Genomic DNA, 21,305 nt, shown 5'->3' with positions numbered 1-21,305 from the left:
CTTTTGATTTTACAGGCTCATAGGCAGAAAGGACTTGGCTTGTCTCACATGAGACTTTGGCCTTGGACTTTTGAGTTAATGCTGGAATGAGTTAAGACTTTGGGGGACTGTTGGAAGGGTATGATTGTGTTTAGAAATGTGAGGACATGAGATTTTGGAGGGGCCAGGGTGGAATGATATGGTGTGGCTGTGTCCCCACCCAAATCTCATCTTGAATTGTAGTTCCTATAATCCCCATGTGTCATGAGAGGGATCTGGTGGGAGGTAATTGAATCATAGGAGCAGTTACCTCCATGCTGTTCTTGTGATAGTGAGTGAATTCTCATGAGTTTGATGGTTTTGTAAGGGGCTCCCCGCCGCTTCACTCTGCACTTCTCCTTGCTGCCACCATGTGAAGAAGGATGTGTTTGCTTCCCCTTCCACCATGATTGTAAGTTTCCTGAGGCCTCCCAGCCCTGCAGAACTGTGAGTCAGTAAAACCTCTTTCCTTTTATAAATTACCCAGTCTCAGGTATGTCCTTATAGCAGCATGAGAACGGACTAATACATCTCCTTAGGCTCCTTTTAGCTGTGATAATTTCTCAGACTTCTCTTGTTTTTGGTGACCTTGATAGTTTTGAGGAGTACTCTTCAGACATTTTGTAGAATGTCCCTCAATTGAGATTTGTCTGTTATGTTTCTCATTATTATACTGGGATTATGGGTTTGGGGGAAGAAGAAGACAGTGGTAAAGTGGTATCTTGATCACATCATATCAAGATACATGCTATCAACATTACTTATTATTGTGGATGTTGATCTTGGTTACCTGGCTGAGAGTGTTTGCCCGGTTTCTCCCCTGTAGAGTTACTCTTTCTTCCCCCTTTTTATACTGTAGGTTTTGGAATGAACACATTCCGTGTGCCTTACACATAAGAGGTGGGAAGTTATGCTCTACATCCTTGAGGGTGGTGTATCTATTTGGTAATAAATTATTTGGTATTCTTCTGTATGGTAGACCTGTCTACTCTCCCTCATCTATGTACTCAGTCATTTACATCATTGTGGAGTCATGGATTTTATTTGTACTTTGAATTATAATCTAATACTACTTGCTCAAATTGTTCCAACTTCAGTCACTGGGAGCTTTTTCTGTTGGTTTCTATTTCCCTTTGACATACCCACATGATTATGGGCTTTGTTTTGTTTTGGGGCACTTCTTTACTTTCTGGTATTATAAAATACCCAAGGCACATCATGTATATTTCCTGTACCAGCCCTTCAATCAGTCATTTCTCCAAGGAGTCTTGGTTCCTTGCATGCTAGGTGTGATCATTGCTACTAGAATGTTTATAATCCTTGATTCCTTAAGGCCCATAGCAATGTCCCCTTCACCATTACTGATTTTAGTAGTTTGAATCTTCTCTCATTATTTTCTTGGTTAGTTTACCTAAAGATTTGTCAATATTGTTAGTATTTTCAAATAACCAACTTTTGATTTTGTCACTTTCTCTGTTTTTTGAGTCTTCCGTTTATTTCCACCCTAACCGCTATTATTTTCTACTTTCTGCTTGCTTTAGATTAAGTTTGCATTTCCTTTTTCATTTCTAATGGTGGAAGTTTCGATTATTGAATTGAAATCTTTCTTTTTAAATATAGGTGTTTACAGCTGTACATTTCCTTTTCAACACTGCCTTAGCTGCATCCCATAAATTTTGGTGTGGTGTATTTTCATTTTCATTAATCTCTACATATTTTCTAATTTCCTCTGTGATTTCTTTTTAATTCCATAGGTTATTTAGGGGTATGTTTAATTAGCACTTATTTGTGAATTTCTCACATTTTCTTCTTTTATTGATTTCTAATTTCATTTTCTTGTGGTTGGAAGACATACTTTGTATGATTTCAGTCCTTTTAAGCTTATTGAGACTTGTTTTAGGGCCTAAGTATGGTCTATCCTAGAGAATGTTTCATGTGTACTTGAAGAATATTTATTGTGCAGTTGTTGGGTGCAGTATTATACAGATGTCTTCCAGGTCTAGTTGGTTCATAGTGTTGTTTAAGTCTTCTATTTTTTGTTGATCTTCTGCCTAGTTTTATTCATTATAAAAATTGGGATATTAAAGTCTCCAACATTTATTGTTGAACTGTTCATTTATTGTTGAACTATTTATTTCTCCTTTTAAGTTAGTGTTTGCTTCATTTATTTTGGAGCTCCGTTGTCACATGTATATATGTTTATAATTGTTATGTCTTCCTGATAGATTTACCCTTTTATTATAAAATATCTTTTTCTCTTGCATTAAAGTCTATTTTGTCTGCTGTTTATATAGCCACTTCAGCTGTCTTTTAGGTACTGTTTGCATGGTATATTTATTTCCATCCCCTTTCTTTCAACCTATTTGTTTCCCTGAATGTAAAGCATGTCTCCTCATATAACTGGAGAATGATTGTTGTTTCTATTTGTGTTTTGTGTTTTAATCCATTTTGCCAATCTCTGCCTTTTTCTATTAGAATGTTGAATTCATTTACATTTAATTACTGACATAGTAGGATTTGTGCCTGTCATTTTGCTGTTTATTTTCTGTCTCATCATTTTGCTCTCCATTATTGCTTTCTTTTCTGTTAAATATTTTTACGTACAGTTTTATTTCTTTGTTGTTTCTTTTTACTGTATTTTCTTAGTGATGGCTTTTCAATTAACATTTAATTTCAGTTAACATCTTAATTTAAAACAATCTAGCTCAGATTGATACCAACTTAATTTCAATTATATACAAAAATTTTGCTCCGATATAACTCTATTCCCATCCCTATTATTTGTGGTATTGTCATCATACAAATTACATTTTCATATAACATTGTCAAAACATTTTTATAATTATTGTTTTCTGCAGTTGTCCTTTTAAATCAGAAGAATGAGTTACAAGCAAACAAAAATACATTTATACTATCATTTTTATATACCTATGTAGTTACTTTTAACAGTGCTCTTTATTTCTTCTTGTAGATTCAAGTTATGTGTAATGTTCTTTTATTTCAGCCTGAAAGAGGAGGCCCTTTAGTATTTCTTATAAGGCAGATCTACTAATAACAGATTATCTCAGTGTTATTTGTTTATTATTCATTTGGGAATATCTCATGTTTCCTTCACTTTTTATTTTCCTTCTCCTTCATTTTTGGAAGGATAGCTTAGCCGGATATAGAATTATCCCCACTGCCTTCCCCAAACTTGAAGTATGTCATTCCACAGCATTTTGGTCTCCATGGATTTTTTTTTTTTTAACAAGAAGCCAGCTGTTAATCTTACTCTGATGATCTCTTATACAAGAGGAATGGTTTTTCTCTTGCTGCTTTCAGGATTCTCTCTCTCTTTTTTTTGGCAGTTTGCATGTGATGTGTCTAGGTATGGACCTCTTTAACAAACTGCAAGTAGGATACACTTAAACTTTTAAAAATATATAGATTAATTTTTCATCAAATGAAAAGTTTAATGGAAAATTTTGGCTATTATTTTTCCAAATAGCCTTTCTGCCTTTTTTTCCTCTTTCTCTCCTCTGGGACCTCCAGATTTGTTTGATGGTATCCCACAGACCTCTGAGGCTCTGTTCATTTTTCTTTATTCTTTTTTCTTTCTGCTCCTCTGATTGGATAATCTCAATGTACCTATCAAATTTGCTGATTCTTTCTTTTGCCATCTCTAATCTGCTGTTGAGTGCCTCTACTGAATTTTGTATTTCGGTTTTGTAATTTTCAACTCTAGCATTTCTACTTGGGTCTACTTTTATAATTGTTATCTCTTCATTGGTATTCTCTATTTGGTGAGATATCATTCTTTTTTTTTTGAAATGTAGTCTCGCTCTGTTTCCCAGGCTGAAGTACAGTAGTGTGATCTCAGCTCACTGCAAGGTCCGCCTCCCGGGTTCATGCCATTCTCCCGCCTCAGCCTCCAGAGTAGCTGAGACTACAGGCGCTCACCCCCCACACCTGGCTAATTTTTGGTCTTTATGTTTTTAGTAGAGACAGGGTTTCACCACGTTGGCCAGGCTGGTCATGAACTCCTGACATCTCGTGATCCACTCGCCTCGGCCTCCCAAAGTGCTGGGATTACAGGCGTGAGCCACCGCGCCTGTCCGGTATCATTCTTATACATTCCCTTAGTTCTTTAGAAATGTTTTCCTTTAGTTCTTTGAAAATATTTATAATAGCTAATTTAAAATCTTTGCCTAGGAAGTACAACATCTGGGCCCCCTCATGGACAGTTTCTACTGACTGCTTTATTTTCCTCTGCATGGGCTTTTTATTTCAGTTTCTTTGTGTATCTCTTAGTTTTGCTCAAAACTGAACTTTTTTTTTTTTTTTTTGAGATGGAGTCTCACTCTTGGAGTGCAGTGGCATGATCTCGGCTCATTGCAAGCTCTGCCTTCCGGATTCATGCCATTCTCCTGCCTCAGCCTCCTGAGTAGCTGGGACTACACACACCCGCCACCACGCCTGGTTAATTTTTTGTATTTTTAGTAGAGGCTGGGTTTCATCGTGTTAGCCAGGATGGTCTCGATCTCCTGACCTCATGATCCGCCCTCCTCGGCCTCCCAGAGTGCTGGGATTACAGGCGTGAGCCACTGCACCCGGCCAAAACTGAACATTTTAAAGAATAGGACCTTTCCTTCTCAAGGGTTTTGTTGTTGTTGCTGTTGGATTTTTTAGTGACTTTCCTGGACTAATTCTATGAAGTCTGTATTCTTTGTCATGTGTGACTTTCAATCTTTGCTTAGTGTGCTGAGTGTTCAGCTAATGATTAGATAGAGATTTCCTTAAATGCCTTGAAGCTATAAGTCTCCCAGCCTTTGTAGAGTGGCTCTATATCTGTTGGGACACAGCTTCAACACTCTGGTAGTCCAAGTCTGCTTTAGCTTTCACTTTCTGATTGCACAGAACCCCAGAGTCAGATGTAAAAGATCACAGGTGCCTCAGGTCTTTCATGGCCATGCACAAAGCCCTGCCCCTGTGTAGCTGTCTAGATCTCTGGAATGTATCAGAGCTTTTCAAAGCCTTCTTTGAACAGCTCACTCCCCAGGATTTCTTTTTTTCGTTTTTAAAAATTGTGGTAAAATAGACGTAAACTTCATCATCTTAACCATTTTTATGTGTACAGTTCAGTAGTATTAAGTCCAGTAAGTCCTCACTTATCATCGATAGGTTCTTGGAAACTGTGACTTTAAGCAAAACCACTGGTAATAAAACCAATTTACTATGGGCTGATTGATATAAACAAGAGTTAAGTTCCTGCAACATATTTCTCGTCACAAAAACATCACCAAACTTCTAAATAAAGACCCCAAATATTTATTATATTAAACATTTGAAATAAATGTGAGCTATACATTTAAGAAAGATTGATAAAAACAAGATAATTTTTTTTTTTTGAGATGGGGTCTCGCTCTGTTGCTCAGGCTGGAGTGCAGTGGCACAATCTCGGCTCACTGCAACCTCTGCCTCCCGGGTTCAAGTGATTCTCCTGTCTCAGCCTCCTGAGTAGCTGGGACTACAGGCGTGTGCCACCATACCCGGCCAATTTTTGTATTTTTTAGTAGAGATGGGGTTTCACCATGTTGGTCAGGCTAGTCTCGATCTCCTGACCTCATCATCCGCCCGCCTTGGCCTCCCAAAATGCTGGGATTACAGGCTTGAGCCACCACACCCGGCCAAAACAAGATAATTATTTACCCAATTTTTGGTGAATCAGTGACTGACAGCGGTTGTAGCGGTGGTGGATTAAATCAAGGAATAACTGTTTGCAAAGTGAAAATTGTAATGAGCACCTCCCACCACCATGCAGTTCAAAAGCAAACAATAACAAATATGGCCGGCACTTTCATACTGCAGCATTTATCGCAGTCATTTCTTGCCACGTATTTGTGTGATTACAGATTTTTATTTTACAATAATTTGTATTTATTCATTCACTTATTTTCCAACCTGTTTATTCCAGTTCATGGTTATGAGTGACTAGGACCTATCCCAGCAGCTCAGGGAACAAGGCAGGAACCAACCATGGGCAGGACACCATTCCATCACAGGTTACACTCACATACACACCCACAAGGACTTGGACAATTTAGACTCATCAGTTAACCTAATGTGCACATCTTTGGGACGTGGGAGGAAACTGGAGTAACTGGAGAATATGTAAATGTGAGGAGAACATGCAGACTCCACACAGACAGTGTGGCCCTGGCTGGGAATCGATTTTTTTTTATCAGTATTGTAGTGAAATAACATTGAATGAAACATTATTTGAGGACCTGCTGTATATTCATATTGTTACGCAGCCATCACCCATTTCCAGAACTCTTTTCATCTTGTAAAACTCAAACTCTGCATTCAAACTCCTCATTCCTCCTCCCTCAAGGCCCTGGCACCAACCATACTACTTTCTGTCTCTGTGATAAAATTTCGAGTACTCTATTTACCTCATATAAGTGGAATCATACAGTATTGTCCTTCTCTGACCAGCTTATTTCACTCAGCATAATGTCCTCAAGGTTCGTCCATGTTGTAGCACATCAGAATTTCCTTCCTTTTGAAGATGGAATAATATTCCATTGTATGTATGTGTCACCTTTTGCCTATTCATCCATTGATGGATACTTAGGTTTTTACATTCTAGCTATTGTGAATGATGCTGCTATGGACATGGATATACAAATATCTCCTCCAGATTCCACCTTCGGTTATTTTAGTTATATACCCAGAGGTAGAATGCTGGATCATATGGTAATTCTATTTGTAATGTTTTTAAGGAACTGCCATATTGTTTTTCACAGCAGCTGCACTGCTTTACGTTATCACCAGTCGTGCACAAGGATTCCAATTTCTCCACATCTTTGCCAACACTTACTATTTTGCTTTTTCGATAGTAGCCATCCTAATGGGTATGCGTCCCAGCATTGTCTTTTAAATGTGTTTGTCCAATTCCTGTTTGCCCCAATGGTAACTATTCCTCAGGCACTTTCACAGTGATCTCTATACCATAGTGCAGCAATCTTCAAGTATCACATATCCTCTAAAAGAATTTTAAGAACAAGTGTAAAGGAGATAATATATTTTTAAATTGGCATCTAATTTTTATCATAAGAAATATAAATAGCTGCAGAGGATCTAATTTCAAGCATGTTGTAAAATTTTCACTTAAAAGCAAACCTAAAAATACAGATGGCTTTTCAAAAAAAAAGAAAAAAATGCTACTGGGTCCCTTTCACAAAGGACCTTTTACTAAGTGACTAAGAAACTCAATCAACTAGTTTGAACTAAATGTGAATAGTTCCATTTGTCTGTCAGCAGATCATATTTTAACAGAGGCCTTCAATGTATTGACTCAAAGGAATGACTAGTGACGTGTGTTTGGGGATGGGGGGTGGGGAGGTTTTGCCAGTCATATCACATAAGCAGCTGCTTTGAAAATATCCCCACTTTCCGTGGTTTTAGGCAAGTAACTCGTTGTAAGTTCATTAAAGTAAATGCTTTGTATCTGGCAAGAGATGTAAAATTGGCAGGGAGTATGCAATAATTATTTGTTTATAATTAGTCGTTCCCTTTGTAGATAACCTATTTTGGTCCTACTAACAAAATAAACTTGGCCCATGGAAAAAAACTTTTTTTTAAACTTTGATCATATTAGCTTTAAATGTTAAACAGCTGATGCTGATTGTGTTCAGCAAATGCCCTGGGGACAAGGCTTTTCCCACTGAACTTGACCCTATGAGAAGGGCTTTTCCTGGAGCTGCAAGACAGGTCTGACGATGACAGTCCTGAGTGTGGGCTTTGGGGAACTTCCAGACTGGTTCTGCTCCCTCCCAGGCTGTGAGGCTGCTGGATTTCACAGTTGAGAGGTGGATAGGAAGTGAAAGCACCGCAAAGCTTGCTGCTCTTACTGAGATTCAGCTGCTTTTCTAGAATAAACACTCCTTGCATTGTTGCAAGCCATTGATTAATTTCCACGGTTCTCTAAAAGTTGGTTTTGACAGTTTTTCCCAGTATTCTGTCTTTAATGGATAAGCAGAGATTTGCAGGTCCTAGTCTTCCATTCTGGAAGTGCTTGGAGATTAACTTAAAACAGCACTGTCCTGTCATCTTTCCTGTCGTGCTTCCCAGGCTCCTAGCTGTCTTGGGTTTCCATCATCTTTTTGTCTCCTTGCTTATTGACCAAGAGCTGTATGGAACATTACTTTTATCGCAACTGGCTCCAAGGTATTATTCATTCAACAAGCACTTCTCGAGCTCTATCCCTTCTTCTGGAAGGAAAAGGGTCAAAATTATGATAAGAAGTTAGAGTTGGGGGAATAGATAGATATGATTAATAGAGATTGATATGATATAGGTGATAGATGGACATTTCTTATTTTCTATTTATAGTATAATGATGTTATCATTGAATACATTTTAAAGAAAATAAAAATGATTTGCATTTAGAAGCTTTTGATACACTTTGTATTTTTTGAGACAGGGTCTTACTCTGTCATCTAGGCTGGAGTGCAATGGTGCAGTCTCACTTCACTGCAGACTCCACATCCCAGGTTCAAACGATCCTCCTGCCTCTGCCTGCCAAGTGATTGAGACTACAGGCGTGTGCCACCACGCCTGGCTAATTTTTGTACTTTTCTGTAGAGACATGGTTTCCCCATGTTGCCCAGGCTGGTATCAAACTCCTAGAGTCAAACGATCCACCTGCCTTGGCCTCCCAAAGTCCTGGGATTACAGGTGTGAGCCACCACACCTAGCCAGATGCTGATACGCTTTTGCTTATTGATCTTGGTATTTTGTATTTGAGATAATTTTTAATAATTTTAAAAGATGAAATCTCCCCCAACCCCGTTTTTTACTATCCTGTTGTAGGAATAATAGTTGGGGTCAACTACAAAATAGAATAATCATTATCTAAATAATGAATGAGGGTTCATTTAGCTAGAAGCATTGAAGAATAAGAATTTGCACACCTGTGTATTTCCCAATAACAAATAATCTTATTCTTTAAAAATAAACATGGGATTCATAGGCTTACATACATTTCTTGCCATATACCTGGAATTAGCCATTTTGCCTCGGAACCATGGGTCCTTTTAAGGGGAAATGATACAGCTCATAGTGTCAGGGTACTGGTGAGGGAAAGGTGTGTTTTTTTTTTTTGTTTGTTTGTTTGTTTTCTTTTTTCGAGATGGAGTCTCACTCTGTTACTCAAGCTGGAGTGCAGTGGTGCAATCTTGGCTCACTGCACCCTCTGCCTCCTATGTTCAAGCAGTTCTCCTGGAGCACCCTCCCAAGTAGCTGGGACTACAAGCGTGTGCCACCACGCCTGCCTAAGTTTTTCTGTATTTTTAGTAGAGATGGGGTTTCACTATGTTGGCCAGACTGGTCTCGGACTCTCCCTTGGCCTCCCAAAGTGCTGAGATTACAGACATCAGCCATCGCTGGCCAATGTGGACTTTTTGATGGGGTTATCTATTAACTTGCTACTAACCTAGGCCAGGCACAGCAATGCAATCTTTTTTAGGAAATTTGATTTTTTTTTTTAACATAAACAAGGTCTTGCTATGTTGCCCAGGCTGACCTGGAACTCCTGGGCTCAAGTGATCCTCCTGCCTCAGCCTCCAAGTAGCTGGGACTACAGGTGTATACCACCATGCCTGGCTTGAGTATTGATCTTTCATTGAAATTGGTCACTGGTTTGGAGTGAGGAGATGACCTCCCGGGATAGGATGGCTCCCTTTGAGGCATTTTATGTGCGGGATAGTAGGTGAATGAATGAAGCCCAGCAGATGTTGAAGCAGCCGTCCTGTTGTAAGTCCTGCTATACGAACAAACACCCACATGAAAAACAATGAAAATATTAGGGAGTGCCAAGTCTCCTGCTAACCTTTAATGGTGGTTTAGGCATTTTCATAGTGATCCCTGAACTCTGATGTTGTGGTCTTCAAATGTCACATGAAGCCTGAAAGAATTTTGAAAAACTACCACTATAAAAGGGGATGATATATTTTTAAGTTGGTACCTGAATTTTTTTTAGTAAATATAAATAGTTTGCAAAGGATGTAATTTACAGCATGCTGTAAATATTCCATTACAAATAAAGTTTTTGGTGCATGATCTTCTAAATACAGCCAGTGAAATCTAAATGCTGCAGTGATTTGATACAGTGAAATCTAAATGCTGCAGTGATTTGATACAGTGAAATCTAAATGCTGCAGTGATTTGATACAGTGAAATCTAAATGCTGCAGTGATTTGATACCACTATCATGCATTTTAAAATAGGATAAACAGACTCTTATTTTTGCCACTTTTCTGACTCTGAAGAGCTCTTTTCTAATCAGAAATTATACATGGTTTCTTTTTCTCTTTGATTTCTTCTTCCCATTACTCCCTCAAGAGATTTTTGTCCTAATATTTTATTCTAATAACTTATGCTTCGTTACCCCTGTTACTCTTCTCTGCAACAAAAAATATGTATAAATTGAAGTTCAAATATTTTTCTCTTGTGGTCCTGGGGCTCTATTTGTTAAAAATATTTTTAAGTTGTTTACTAGTATAGGGTTCTAGCTTGCAAGATGAAAAGCAATCTAGAGAGTGGGTGCATAACAGTGTGAATGTACACTCCTGAACTGTACACTTAAAAAGAGCTAATATGGTAAATTTTATGTGTGTTTTACCACAATTATAAATGAAATAGATTGTTATAGTAAATTTCTAGATTGAGTTATTAACAAGTATTATCAAATGGTGATTGGAACATAGTTGTGCAATTTGATAATCACTAGCCATCCAAGTAAACATCTGAAGAATCTTTCGTTTACATTAAGTATTTATTGATAATCACTAGCCATCCAAATAAACTTCGGAAGAATCTTTCATTTACTGTTAAGTATTTATTGATAATCACTAGCCATCCAAATAAACATCGGAAGAATCTTTCATTTACTGTTAAGTATTTATTGATAATCACTAGCCATCCAAATAAACATCGGAAGAATCTTTCATTTACTGTTAAGTATTTATTGATAATCACTAGCCATCCAAATAAACATCTGAAGAATCTTTCATTTACTGTTAAGTATTTATTGATAATCACTAGCCATCCAAGTAAACATCGGAAGAATCTTTCATTTACTGTTAAGTATTTATTGATAATCACTAGCCATCCAAATAAACATCGGAAGAATCTTTCATTTACTGTTAAGTATTTATTGATAATCACTAGCCATCCAAATAAACATCGGAAGAATCTTTCATTTACTGTTAAGTCTTTATTGATAATCACTAGCCATCCAAATAAACATCTGAAGAATCTTTCATTTACTGTTAAGTATTTATTGATAATCACTAGCCATCCAAGTAAACATCTGAAGAATCTTTCATTTACGTTAAGTATTTATTGATAATCACTAGCCATCCAAATAAACATCTGAAGAATCTTTCATTTACTGTTAAGTATTTATTGATAATCACTAGCCATCCAAATAAACATTTGAAGAATCTTTCATTTACTGTTAAGTATTTATTGATAAATGAGGTAGGCTGGCACTAATTGTTTTGCAATTTTTATTGTTGGGTGTCAACACTGTGAAGCTTCATTTGCACACTCAGGTAGATGAGAGTGAAGGCCCCTAAGCACAGCTCAGTTCTTTGAACTCTCAACAGGTTGTGTGACAAAAATAATAGGGTGGTCTCTCAAAATTATTTTGATAATTAGCTGACAGTTCAGTTAGGACAACTTTATATTTTGTCAAAAGCAAGTAATTGGAAACTACTTGACTTGCAAGGTTTATTGCCTGGTCATTAGAGCCATTCACTGTTTCAGTTTCTGGTAAGTATACTGGAAGGACTTTACCAAGAAGTATGTGACAATGAATTATACCTGCTAATTCCTTCATTTAGAGGACTCTTGTTTAATCTGATATCATGGGGAAATAAAAATATTTAGTACCCAATACCAATATGATTTTTAAATACAATGCTTTTGTCATGTCACATTTCACATCTCTTTTTGTCAAAACTTTGGAGCTCATTCAACATATGAAGCATGTTTACCATATAGCTGGGTTGGCAAAGTCAGCCTCATCATTAAACACAAATCAACCTTGTTTTCTCTCAGGAAACAGTCTGAATTTATTTTTCATTTCAAGTTAACATGCTAAGACATATTTTGAGAAAATTATTGAACGTACTGAGAAACTGAGATGTGTTTTAGGTTAGTTGCTAAATAAAGTTAAGACTGAAACATTGTAGAACTAACATTTAGCCTATGCTGTTTCAGGGAGGCCTGGCGTTCCTGAGGTGAAAGTGAGCTGTATCCCTTTGCGGTGATACTGAAGTGAGAATTATATAAAATTCAAAAACACTCTTACTAGTTGCATTAGACATGATTAAATTATCTTATGTATTCAGTTAAACGAAAGCCATATAGTGATACAAGGAAATTGCTTTGGAAGTTGGTATATGTATTAGTCCATTCTCACATAGCTGTAAAGAAAGACTACAGACTGGGTGGTTTATAAAGAAAAGAGACTTAATTGGCTCACGGTTCCACAGGCTGCACAGGAAGCATGGTGACCATCTGCTCCTGGGACGGCCTCAGGGAGCTTTTACTCATGGCAGAAGGCAAGATGGGAGTAGGCATCCTACATGGCAGGAGCAGGACTAAAAGAGGGGGAAGGTGCTACACACTTTTAAAACAACCAGATCTCGTGATCACTCACTCACTCACCATCACAAGAACAGCACCTGGAGTTGGGCTTAACCATTCATAAGAGCTCTGCCCTCATGATCCAGTCACCTCCCACCAGGCCCCTCCTCCAACACTGGGGATTACAATTCACCATGAGACCTGGGTGGGGACACAGATGCAAACCGTGTGAGTATATATGAGCTATGTGAGATGGGAAAGACAAGGATTGATGTTAGTGAAATAAATGCTTTGTGATCTGAAAGATACCGCATAAAACTGATGTTGTAGGCTTTACATGTGTGTCTTAAAGTTTTGGAGCCCCTGTGTGTGAAAGAATCTGCATCGCCTACATGCTGTACCAGTGTCATCCTTGGGTGAACGTTTCCCCTTGAATAACGGGGAGAGATTTCAAGGGTTTGCTCTGCTCTGCACTTCTGACAATAGCAGGAGATAGAGGAGAGCCCTTTCCTCTGCCCCTTCCAGGGTGCAGCCGTGTTCAGAGCATGTAACTGTCCAAATACCAAGTTCTGGGGTCCCACTTCTTCCCTTACTGAGTATGTAGACCGTAGGTTAGAGGGGCTTTGATTAGTCATTGAAAGTGGCTTTTCCCAAACTATTGTTATTATTATTATTATTATTAAGACTGAGTCTCACTCTTTTGCCCAGGCTGGAGTGCGGTGGCATGATCTTGGCTCACTGCAACCTCCACCTCCCAGGTTCAAGGGATTCTCCTGCCTCAGACTCCTGAGATTGCTGGGATTACTGGTGTGTGCCACCATGCCTGGCTCATTTTTTGGTACTTTTAGTAGAGATGGGGTTTCACCATGTTGGCCAGGCTGGTCTTGAACTCCTGACCTCAAGTAATCTGCCCGCCTTGGCCTCCCAAACTGCTGGGATTACAGGCGTGAGCCACCATGCCTGCCCCAAGCCAGTATTTTGAATTGTCCCATTGTTGTAGGCCCTGGAGATTTTTTTTTTTTTTTTAATTGCTGAGGGCAGTGCACAATGGATGAGAGGTTTGTTTTGCTTTTGGTAACCTGGGGGAAGTGCTTTTTGAAAGGGAGGTAGAAAAGGAGATTTGTTCTTGAGCAATTCAGTTTCACAAAGAATCTGTGGAGGTTAAGGTCTAGTGGCTGATTCCCATAAAACCAGTGGTTCTCTGTGTGTGGTCCCCAGATCAATAGCATCAGCTCTTTCAGGAACTTGTTAAAATGCAGATTCTTAGGCTGTACCTCAGCACAGTCAAATCCAGAACTCTGGGGGGCCTCCAGGTGATCCTGGCACAAACACGTCTGATCTTAGATGACCTTCCCTGACTCATTCATACAATGTCTAGATGATATAATGACTAGTTTTCCATAAACATTACTTTATTTGTATATATTTTGGAACCAATCTAATTAGTTTTCAACTGTATATGTACCACCTGATGAATAAAGATCCCGAATTGCCGAGTGAGGAATGACAGGAGCCGGAACCCTTGGGCATGACCCTAACCTCATGTCCCCCTGGGGTCCTCTCTTGGAGGGTATCCTGGAGCTCTGCGGGCAGCTCATGGGCATCTGAGCCAGGGTTGGGGTCTGCTGGAAAAGAGGTTAGTCCCTAGATGTTTCCCAAACCTGGACCACCTAATGACAGCTCCTGAGGCGGGTGTACATGTCGCCTTTAGGAAAAAGACCAGACCATCATCCTGTCTCCCTTGGACTTGTATGATTTTAACCAGGTTCCTTTATTCTTGCAATTTCATGTCTACTTCTGATCCTTTTGAAATGTAACCATTACTAAAGTACAAATCAAATGAAGACACTTCCTAGCTTAAAATTAAGACCCGTAAGGTCTTAATGGTCTTTTGCCTTTGGAAACAGTCCCGAGGTTTCATCCGGCCTTGCGTCCTCTCCTGCCTCTGAGTTTCCTAAGCCCTGCCCCAAGCTGTGCAGATGTCCCTTCAGCAACCACAGATGAGGCAAGGGACCTTGCTGAGGAAGGATTCTCCTTTCATGCCACCCAAAAAATTAACATTAATTTTGACGTTGCTTTTTCCTACAACATGAGCTACACAGCCCGTCCTATCCTGTCCTCAGGATATTCATCTGTGTTGATGACTGAGCTGTCCCTCGGTCAGTGTGGACGAGAGGGCCGTCCTGGGTCTCTGTGGATGAGCGAGCTGCTGCCTGAGTCACTACTGCTTTTAATTGTTTAGGGTCCCTCTTCCTGTATTATAATTTCTTATTTAGTCACTGTGAGCTCTGTGAGAACTGAGCTGTTTGTCACTATCTCCCCAGGCCCTTGTGGAGAATTAATAAATACTTGTCCTTTTATTTTCTTAATACAACATTTTAAATTCATCAGCCTCTGTAGCAAACAGTATGAGATATCTCAGAGAACTGAAAATAGAGTTACCATTGGATCCAGCAGTCTTACTATTGTGTTTCTACCCAAAGGAAGAGAAATCGTATTAAAAGCATTTGTAGCTTCATTCCAGCACTATTCATAATAGCAAAGATGAAATCAACTTATGTGTCTATCAGTGGATGATTGATTAAAGAAAATGTGGAATGTAAATACTTGTTTGTTAAGTACACTAACCACACCTTATTTCTGGATATTTCTCTGGTATTTATTAATGCCCCTCCCCCCACCCCGTCTCTTGCATTGTAGTTTGGGGCGGAATTCCGAAGGTTCTCTCTGGACCGTCATAAGCCTGGGAAGTTTGAAGATTTCTACAAGCTGGTTGTGCACACCCACCATATCTCCAACAGTGATGTAACTATTGGCTATGCAGATGTGCACGGAGACCTGCTGCCCATCAACAATGATGACAACTTCTGCAAGGCGGTTTCTAGTGCAAATCCCCTGCTCAGGGTCTTCATCCAGAAACGAGGTACTGAAGTGGTTGAGTGGCCGGCTGGTCTTGTTGAGAAATCATTTTTAAAATACAGTTTTCAATTTTTTCTGTCATTACAGGACTATGTGGTTCGTTTTCTAACCTGTAGTAGGAGATTAAAGAAATTAAAAATTGTTTCATCAGCATTAATAGACAAAATACTAAACTGTGTTTTCTACTTTAAATGATATTGACTTCTGACTTTTAAATACTGAAGAAAGAATAATATTGATACTTCCAGTCATTTAACTAGAAGTGAAATGACTCAGTGATAAGGAGGCTTGAGTCAGTGGCCTCAGAATGAAACTTGGGGTTACGGTGCATGCCCTCCATCATCTTGTTAGGAGGAGGGAGCATGTTAGCTTTCGATGATAACTTTGGTTAACTTTTAGCTCTGAGGCCCAGTTTCGCTATAAGTAATAATATCATTTTATGTTAAAATAAATTACTAACATAGGTTAATGGCTGAAAGGGAAGGGGTGCCCTACTGCTGACTTATTGTGGGACCTCATACTGCTCACGTCTCTGGACTGCATTTAGATTTTTTTTCCATCTCCAAACTTCGGAGAACCTTGTTGTTTCAAAATAATATGCTGAAAGAAAGAAGCACCTGCAGGTGAGGCTTGATATTGGGAAAATGGCATTTTTATAACTGACTGCCTCTCCTTTGGGCGGCCCCACGGTGCAGGTGGTGAACACTGACCACCTCAAGGAACCAAGCAGCCAGTGGTGACAGTTGCAAGGTGAGGTTGCAGTGTGCCCTGTCTGCCCTCATGGATCTGCTGCCAGAGTCTCTGGGACAGCTAGGAGAGGTTTCCCGGAGGAAAGGCTGAGCTGAGACTAGAGGAAGCAGCAGCAGGGTGCTGGGTGGGAGGCGGGCTGGGCGAGTTCTCAGACGAGGCCCTCCGCCTCCTTCACCCCAGCGTCCTGCTTTGCAAAACGAGGGTCCTCATAGTAACCCCCATCCAGTTTCTGTGAGGGTGATGCTGAGCAGCGTGCTGCCAGCTCCTCGTCCCTGCTCTGTAAATACTAGCTATGGCTGTTATTCCCATTTGTGGTGATGAAGGGAACGGCAGGAGACTCGTTGACCTCACTTCAGACAGATTCTCTGGCACAAGATCAGAACACTCTGCATCTGCAGTTCTCACTGGGCCTGGGTATCCTGCTGACGGTGCTGAGAAGTCAACACAGCTGTCACTTCCTCACAGTGGCCTGGGGGACGGGCTGAGCTTCAGCTTCCACATCAGTCCTTCGGGGTTGCTGGGGGCAAGGACCCTCGCTGTCTCTGCATGGCTCTGCACAGCCTCCAGCGTGCCACACCTCGGTCCTCTGTATGCTGCCCTCTGCAGTGGCTGCTTGCTGCTTGGCTGGTCCTGGAATGGAGGCCTGTGCCCCCTGCCCCCTGCCCTGGAACTCTCTACCCCTTCACATTGCCTGGGTGTCTGTATCTGTTCACAGGCTGCCTTCTCAGGAAGGCCTGGTCTCAGCTGCTTGATCTGATGAGCCCGTGTTCCCCTCTGCCTGTCGTCCTCTGTCCTCTTACTCGGCTTCCTCTGGGCTCTGTCCATTGCTCCCAGAGCTGGTTTGCCGTCTGTCTCCACCCGACCAGGAGCGTAGGGTGGGGGTGTGTTCCTGGCTGTGCCCCTGCCATCCCAGGTCACAGCATTTGCTCACATGGTGTGGGGTGAGCAATGGTGTGAAGAAGGTGTGTAAACTGCAGATGTGCGCACAGGCTTTGTTGCCCATCGTGCAGGAAACAAGTCTTTTTGTCCCGCTGACTGTGGAGCTGGGGTGAAGGCCAGCAGAAGGCACTGTGCCCTTTGGAGGTGGGCCCCAGGCGTCTTGGCACCCTCTACTGGGGATGCATCAAAGCTGGGCTGGGACCAGAAAGTGGGCTTGTGTGTTGCCCATGGGAACGTGCTAACCTCCAGCAGCAGCTCGGACACTCTGCCTCTTTCCAGCTTGCTGGCTGGGGCCCTGTGTTCAGTCTTCATCATTTATTTTTCCTTCTTCCTCTGCCCTCAGAGTAGTAGCCCAGTTTAACTAGCTGGCTCAGGGTTTCTCAGTCTCTCGTGGTTATAGCGTGAGCGTGTCGCCAGCAGCCCCTGCCTTCCTCTGTCATGTTACAGTGTGGAGCTAGGGAGACCTGAACTCAGACCCCACCTTCTCCCTGGCTTTGTGACACAAACACACGCCTCATCCCGCAGAGCTCTACCGTCCTCATCTGTGGCACGGGTGGTAGTGCCTGTCTCTGGGGTTGTTGTCAGAGCTTAACAGCGACATCTGCTGATGACAAGCCCTTCACTGGCCCCTCGGTCCTGTCTTTGGGAAAATCAGAGCTGCCTCTCGCTGTCCTCAGTGGATTTGACTGTAAAGATGACGACATTCCAGGTGGCAGTCAGGGGCAGTTGTTTCCGGTGCACAGTCAGGCACCCTCCCTGCATAGTAATCTGTGCTGATGTTTCATAATCTGTGTGTTTGCGTTTGGGGCAGAGCTGAGGCCCCTGAGAGGCAACACTCAATCCCACAGCCTTTTTACTGCAGCAGGGGTGTCGAGGGGTCAGTCACGGTCATGCTATTTTCAAGATTCTACTGCAGCCGTACCCACTGTGTCATTTACTTAATAACTTTCTGTACACGGACGTATTTTATTTAAATATATGTTAAGAGGGAATTTACTATCACAGAGGAAAAGTCAGCATTCTCCTAATACATGTTGGAATAAACCCACAATTATGTTTTAAAAAATTAATCTGTTGCTCAGCCAGGCATGGTGGCTCACGCCTGTAATCCCAGCACTTTGGGAGGCCGAGGCGGGTGGATCACTTGAGGTCAGGAGTTCGAGACAAGCCTGGCCAACATGGTGAAACCCTATCTCTACTAAAAAATATATAAATCATCCAGGTGTAGTGGCATGTGCCTGTAGTCCCAGCTACTCGTGAGGCTGAGGCAGGAGAAATCGCTTGAACCCAGGAGGCAGAGGTTGCAGTGAGCCAAGATTGCACCACTGCCCTCCAGCCTGGGTGACAGAGCGAAACTCCGTCTCAGAAAAAAAGAAAAATTAATCTGTTGCTTAAAATAATCTCTTCCTCCAAACCATACAAAGACACAGTGATAAACTACAGAACAGCATTCCTTTATGAATGTAGATGTAAAAACCCTTCAGCAAAATACTAGCACATGGAAAAATGCACCCACACAAAAAGTACACGAATGTTCATAGTAACATTATTCACAATATCCATAAGGCGAGAACAGCCCACGCGTCCATCAGCTGATAAATGGATAAAAAAGTGTGCGCATGTGCGTGTGTGTCTAGTCATGCAGTGGAATGTTATCGAGCCATGAAAAATGATGCGCTGACACATGCTACAGATGGATGAACCTCAGAAACCGTATGTTTAAGAGTGAGAGAAGCCGGACATAAAAGTTCCCATATTGTATGATGACTTTGGAAGTTGATTCTCATTATTCAAGGACTGTGTATTGATGAAATGTTGTGACCAGAGGCTAACAGGAACCTAACCCTGTGTCCCCCGGAAGCAATGGTTCTATGCTCAGTAATTCAGTGACCATGTCAACTTTAGAGAACAAACTACTACACGTGACAAGAATCCTCTGTAATGTGAAAAGTCCAGAATGGGCAAATCCATAGACTCATGGTTGCCAGGGGCTGAGAGGTGGGGAGAATTGGGAGGGAGGGGGTTTCTTTCTGGAGTGATAGAAATGTTCTAGAACTAGAGATTTGCATAAATACCAACAACCATTGAATTCTACACTTTAAATGGGTGAAGTTTATGTGAATTATTTCGGAATAAAGCTGTTAAAAATAGAAAGGACTGTCTACCTTACCAGGGCGGACAGGCTGATGATCAGACCCCTGGATCTGAGCCATGGCCCTGGGTAAGGTTTTCTGGGTTTATCTCCAGCCTTTATTTCCAAAATTCAGCCATTCTCCATATGTGAATACTTTGACTTTTTAATAAACATATTTGTTCAAAACTTTAAAAAAAAATCCTCTCTTCCCCTGGTAATAGGAAACTTCCTGTGCTTCTCTGAGAGGGCTCCAAGCCTGGTGAGTGCCCCAGGTGGGCACAGGAGTGTGGCATCCCCAGCTGTCTCCCTGTCCTCACTGGGAAGGCACTCAGCACAGCCCAATGGGACTAGCTGGGCCTGTCACTTTGTTACCAATAAAAATGAGATATTTTCATATCCTGTGGTAGTTGCATTCCAATATCCTAAATATCATTTACAGTAATCATTATTTAAAAACAACGGTACATATTGTTATTTAATGCATGAATAAGAAAAGTAATCTGTCACACATTTGTTTTACTATTCTGATAATTGTCTTCAAAATAATTTCCTCTATAATCCCCTGTGCTTTATTTTATGCCTTTAGGAACGTTATTTTGAGAAAGGTGTTCCCTAGCATCATCAGATTGCTAAAGGGCTCTCGGCTTATACCAGGTTAAGAGCCCCACTTGCAGAGAGGCTGCATTTGAGGCTCAGACGACAGGCCAGGAATGACTTGTTTTTCATTCTCCTGGGATGATCCGGACGTTCTCTCCGGACGTTCTCTCAACGACTACATGGCATTTGGGGGCAAAAGGACCCAGCCTTAGGCCTTCACTGCCTTTCTTCTTTATTTGCTAGGCTTCTGCTGCATCTGGCCAGGGACTGTGAAAAGCCATGGGCTTTTCCCTTGGACACATGACAGCTGTCTTTGCCCTTCTCTGTATCGCTGTGCCCATTTAAGTGAGAAGAACAGCAGTTACCAGAATGGATTGGCCACGATGAGAGGGTCTGGACTTGAGTCTGCGTATTTAGGTTGTAAATACAGAATGTGTTAAGTGTTAAGGACCCGCTTCTCTGTTCCCCTGCCTCCCCAAGGGTGCAGGAATGTTTTGGGAAGCTGGCCCTTGCCAGAGAATGCACAACCAAGTTGATACTTGGAGCATCTCTATTTTTAGCAGGATAAACAGGAAGTGCAAACAGTAACTTTTCCCTGCTTATCCATCAAATAAACTCTGCAAATGCTAGCATACCCTGCAGTGTGGTTACTCACCTCCAGGCACAGCCCAGGACTTGGTAGGGTGTCTTAGTAGCTCCTCCTCAGGAATATGAAGGCTTAATTACACCGAAAGATGTTCAGCACAGAGCACTCTGAACTCCTTACTTTTAAAGCTAACATCAGTATTGCCCGTTTGCGTATGGCTGTTCACTGTTCTTGGCATTCTGGGCATTCTTTTGGGTTCCTAGAATGAGGAGAACACAGTTGTAAACTATTTGATTTATCAGAATTTGCCCGATGGGGTGTATTTTGCTCTGATTTCACTTAAGTGAGTTACTAGAAAAAGGAAGGGGTATGGAATGATTGAGAATCTTGTTATGGACACTGGCAGGATTTTCAAGTATCAAGCATAGAAATCCTGCTTATAATTGTTTTTCTTGGATTCTTAGGGAAATAGCTAGAGGTATGTTTGGTTTTTAAATTGAGGGTTCACTGCTCATCAGGAAGCCCTCAGTTAAGCCGTCAGAATTCAATTTCTGCATTCCACGCCCCATTGTAGTCTCTTTCCTCGGACACCGCCTAGGGGCTTGAGGTTTTGTTTCTTGGGGGCAGGGAAGAGGTATATTTTTGCTGAATTAGCCTCACTGTGTCCATGTGCTTATGGGAACAGACAGAACGTGGGCTTTGCCCTCTGGGGTAGGAGGTTTT

The 21,305-nt window shown here is 41.2% G+C and overlaps 1 protein-coding gene across 1 annotated transcript in view; it reads left to right on the top strand.

The window, feature by feature from the left end:
• PARD6G (par-6 family cell polarity regulator gamma) overlaps nt 1-21,305 on the top strand; it is a 90,283-nt gene that overhangs the window by 29,225 nt on the left and 39,753 nt on the right. The window contains exon 2 of the mRNA NM_032510.4: nt 15,358-15,580. Coding sequence (NP_115899.1) covers nt 15,358-15,580 — 223 coding nt within the window. The remainder of the gene's footprint in view (nt 1-15,357; nt 15,581-21,305) is intronic.

The sequence above is a fragment of the Homo sapiens genome, chromosome 18, assembly GCF_000001405.40.
Source record: "Homo sapiens chromosome 18, GRCh38.p14 Primary Assembly".
Taxonomy (NCBI): Eukaryota; Metazoa; Chordata; class Mammalia; order Primates; family Hominidae; genus Homo; species Homo sapiens.
The sequence above is the reverse complement of the archived record's forward strand: the minus strand, read 5'-3'. Positions and strand labels throughout refer to the sequence as shown.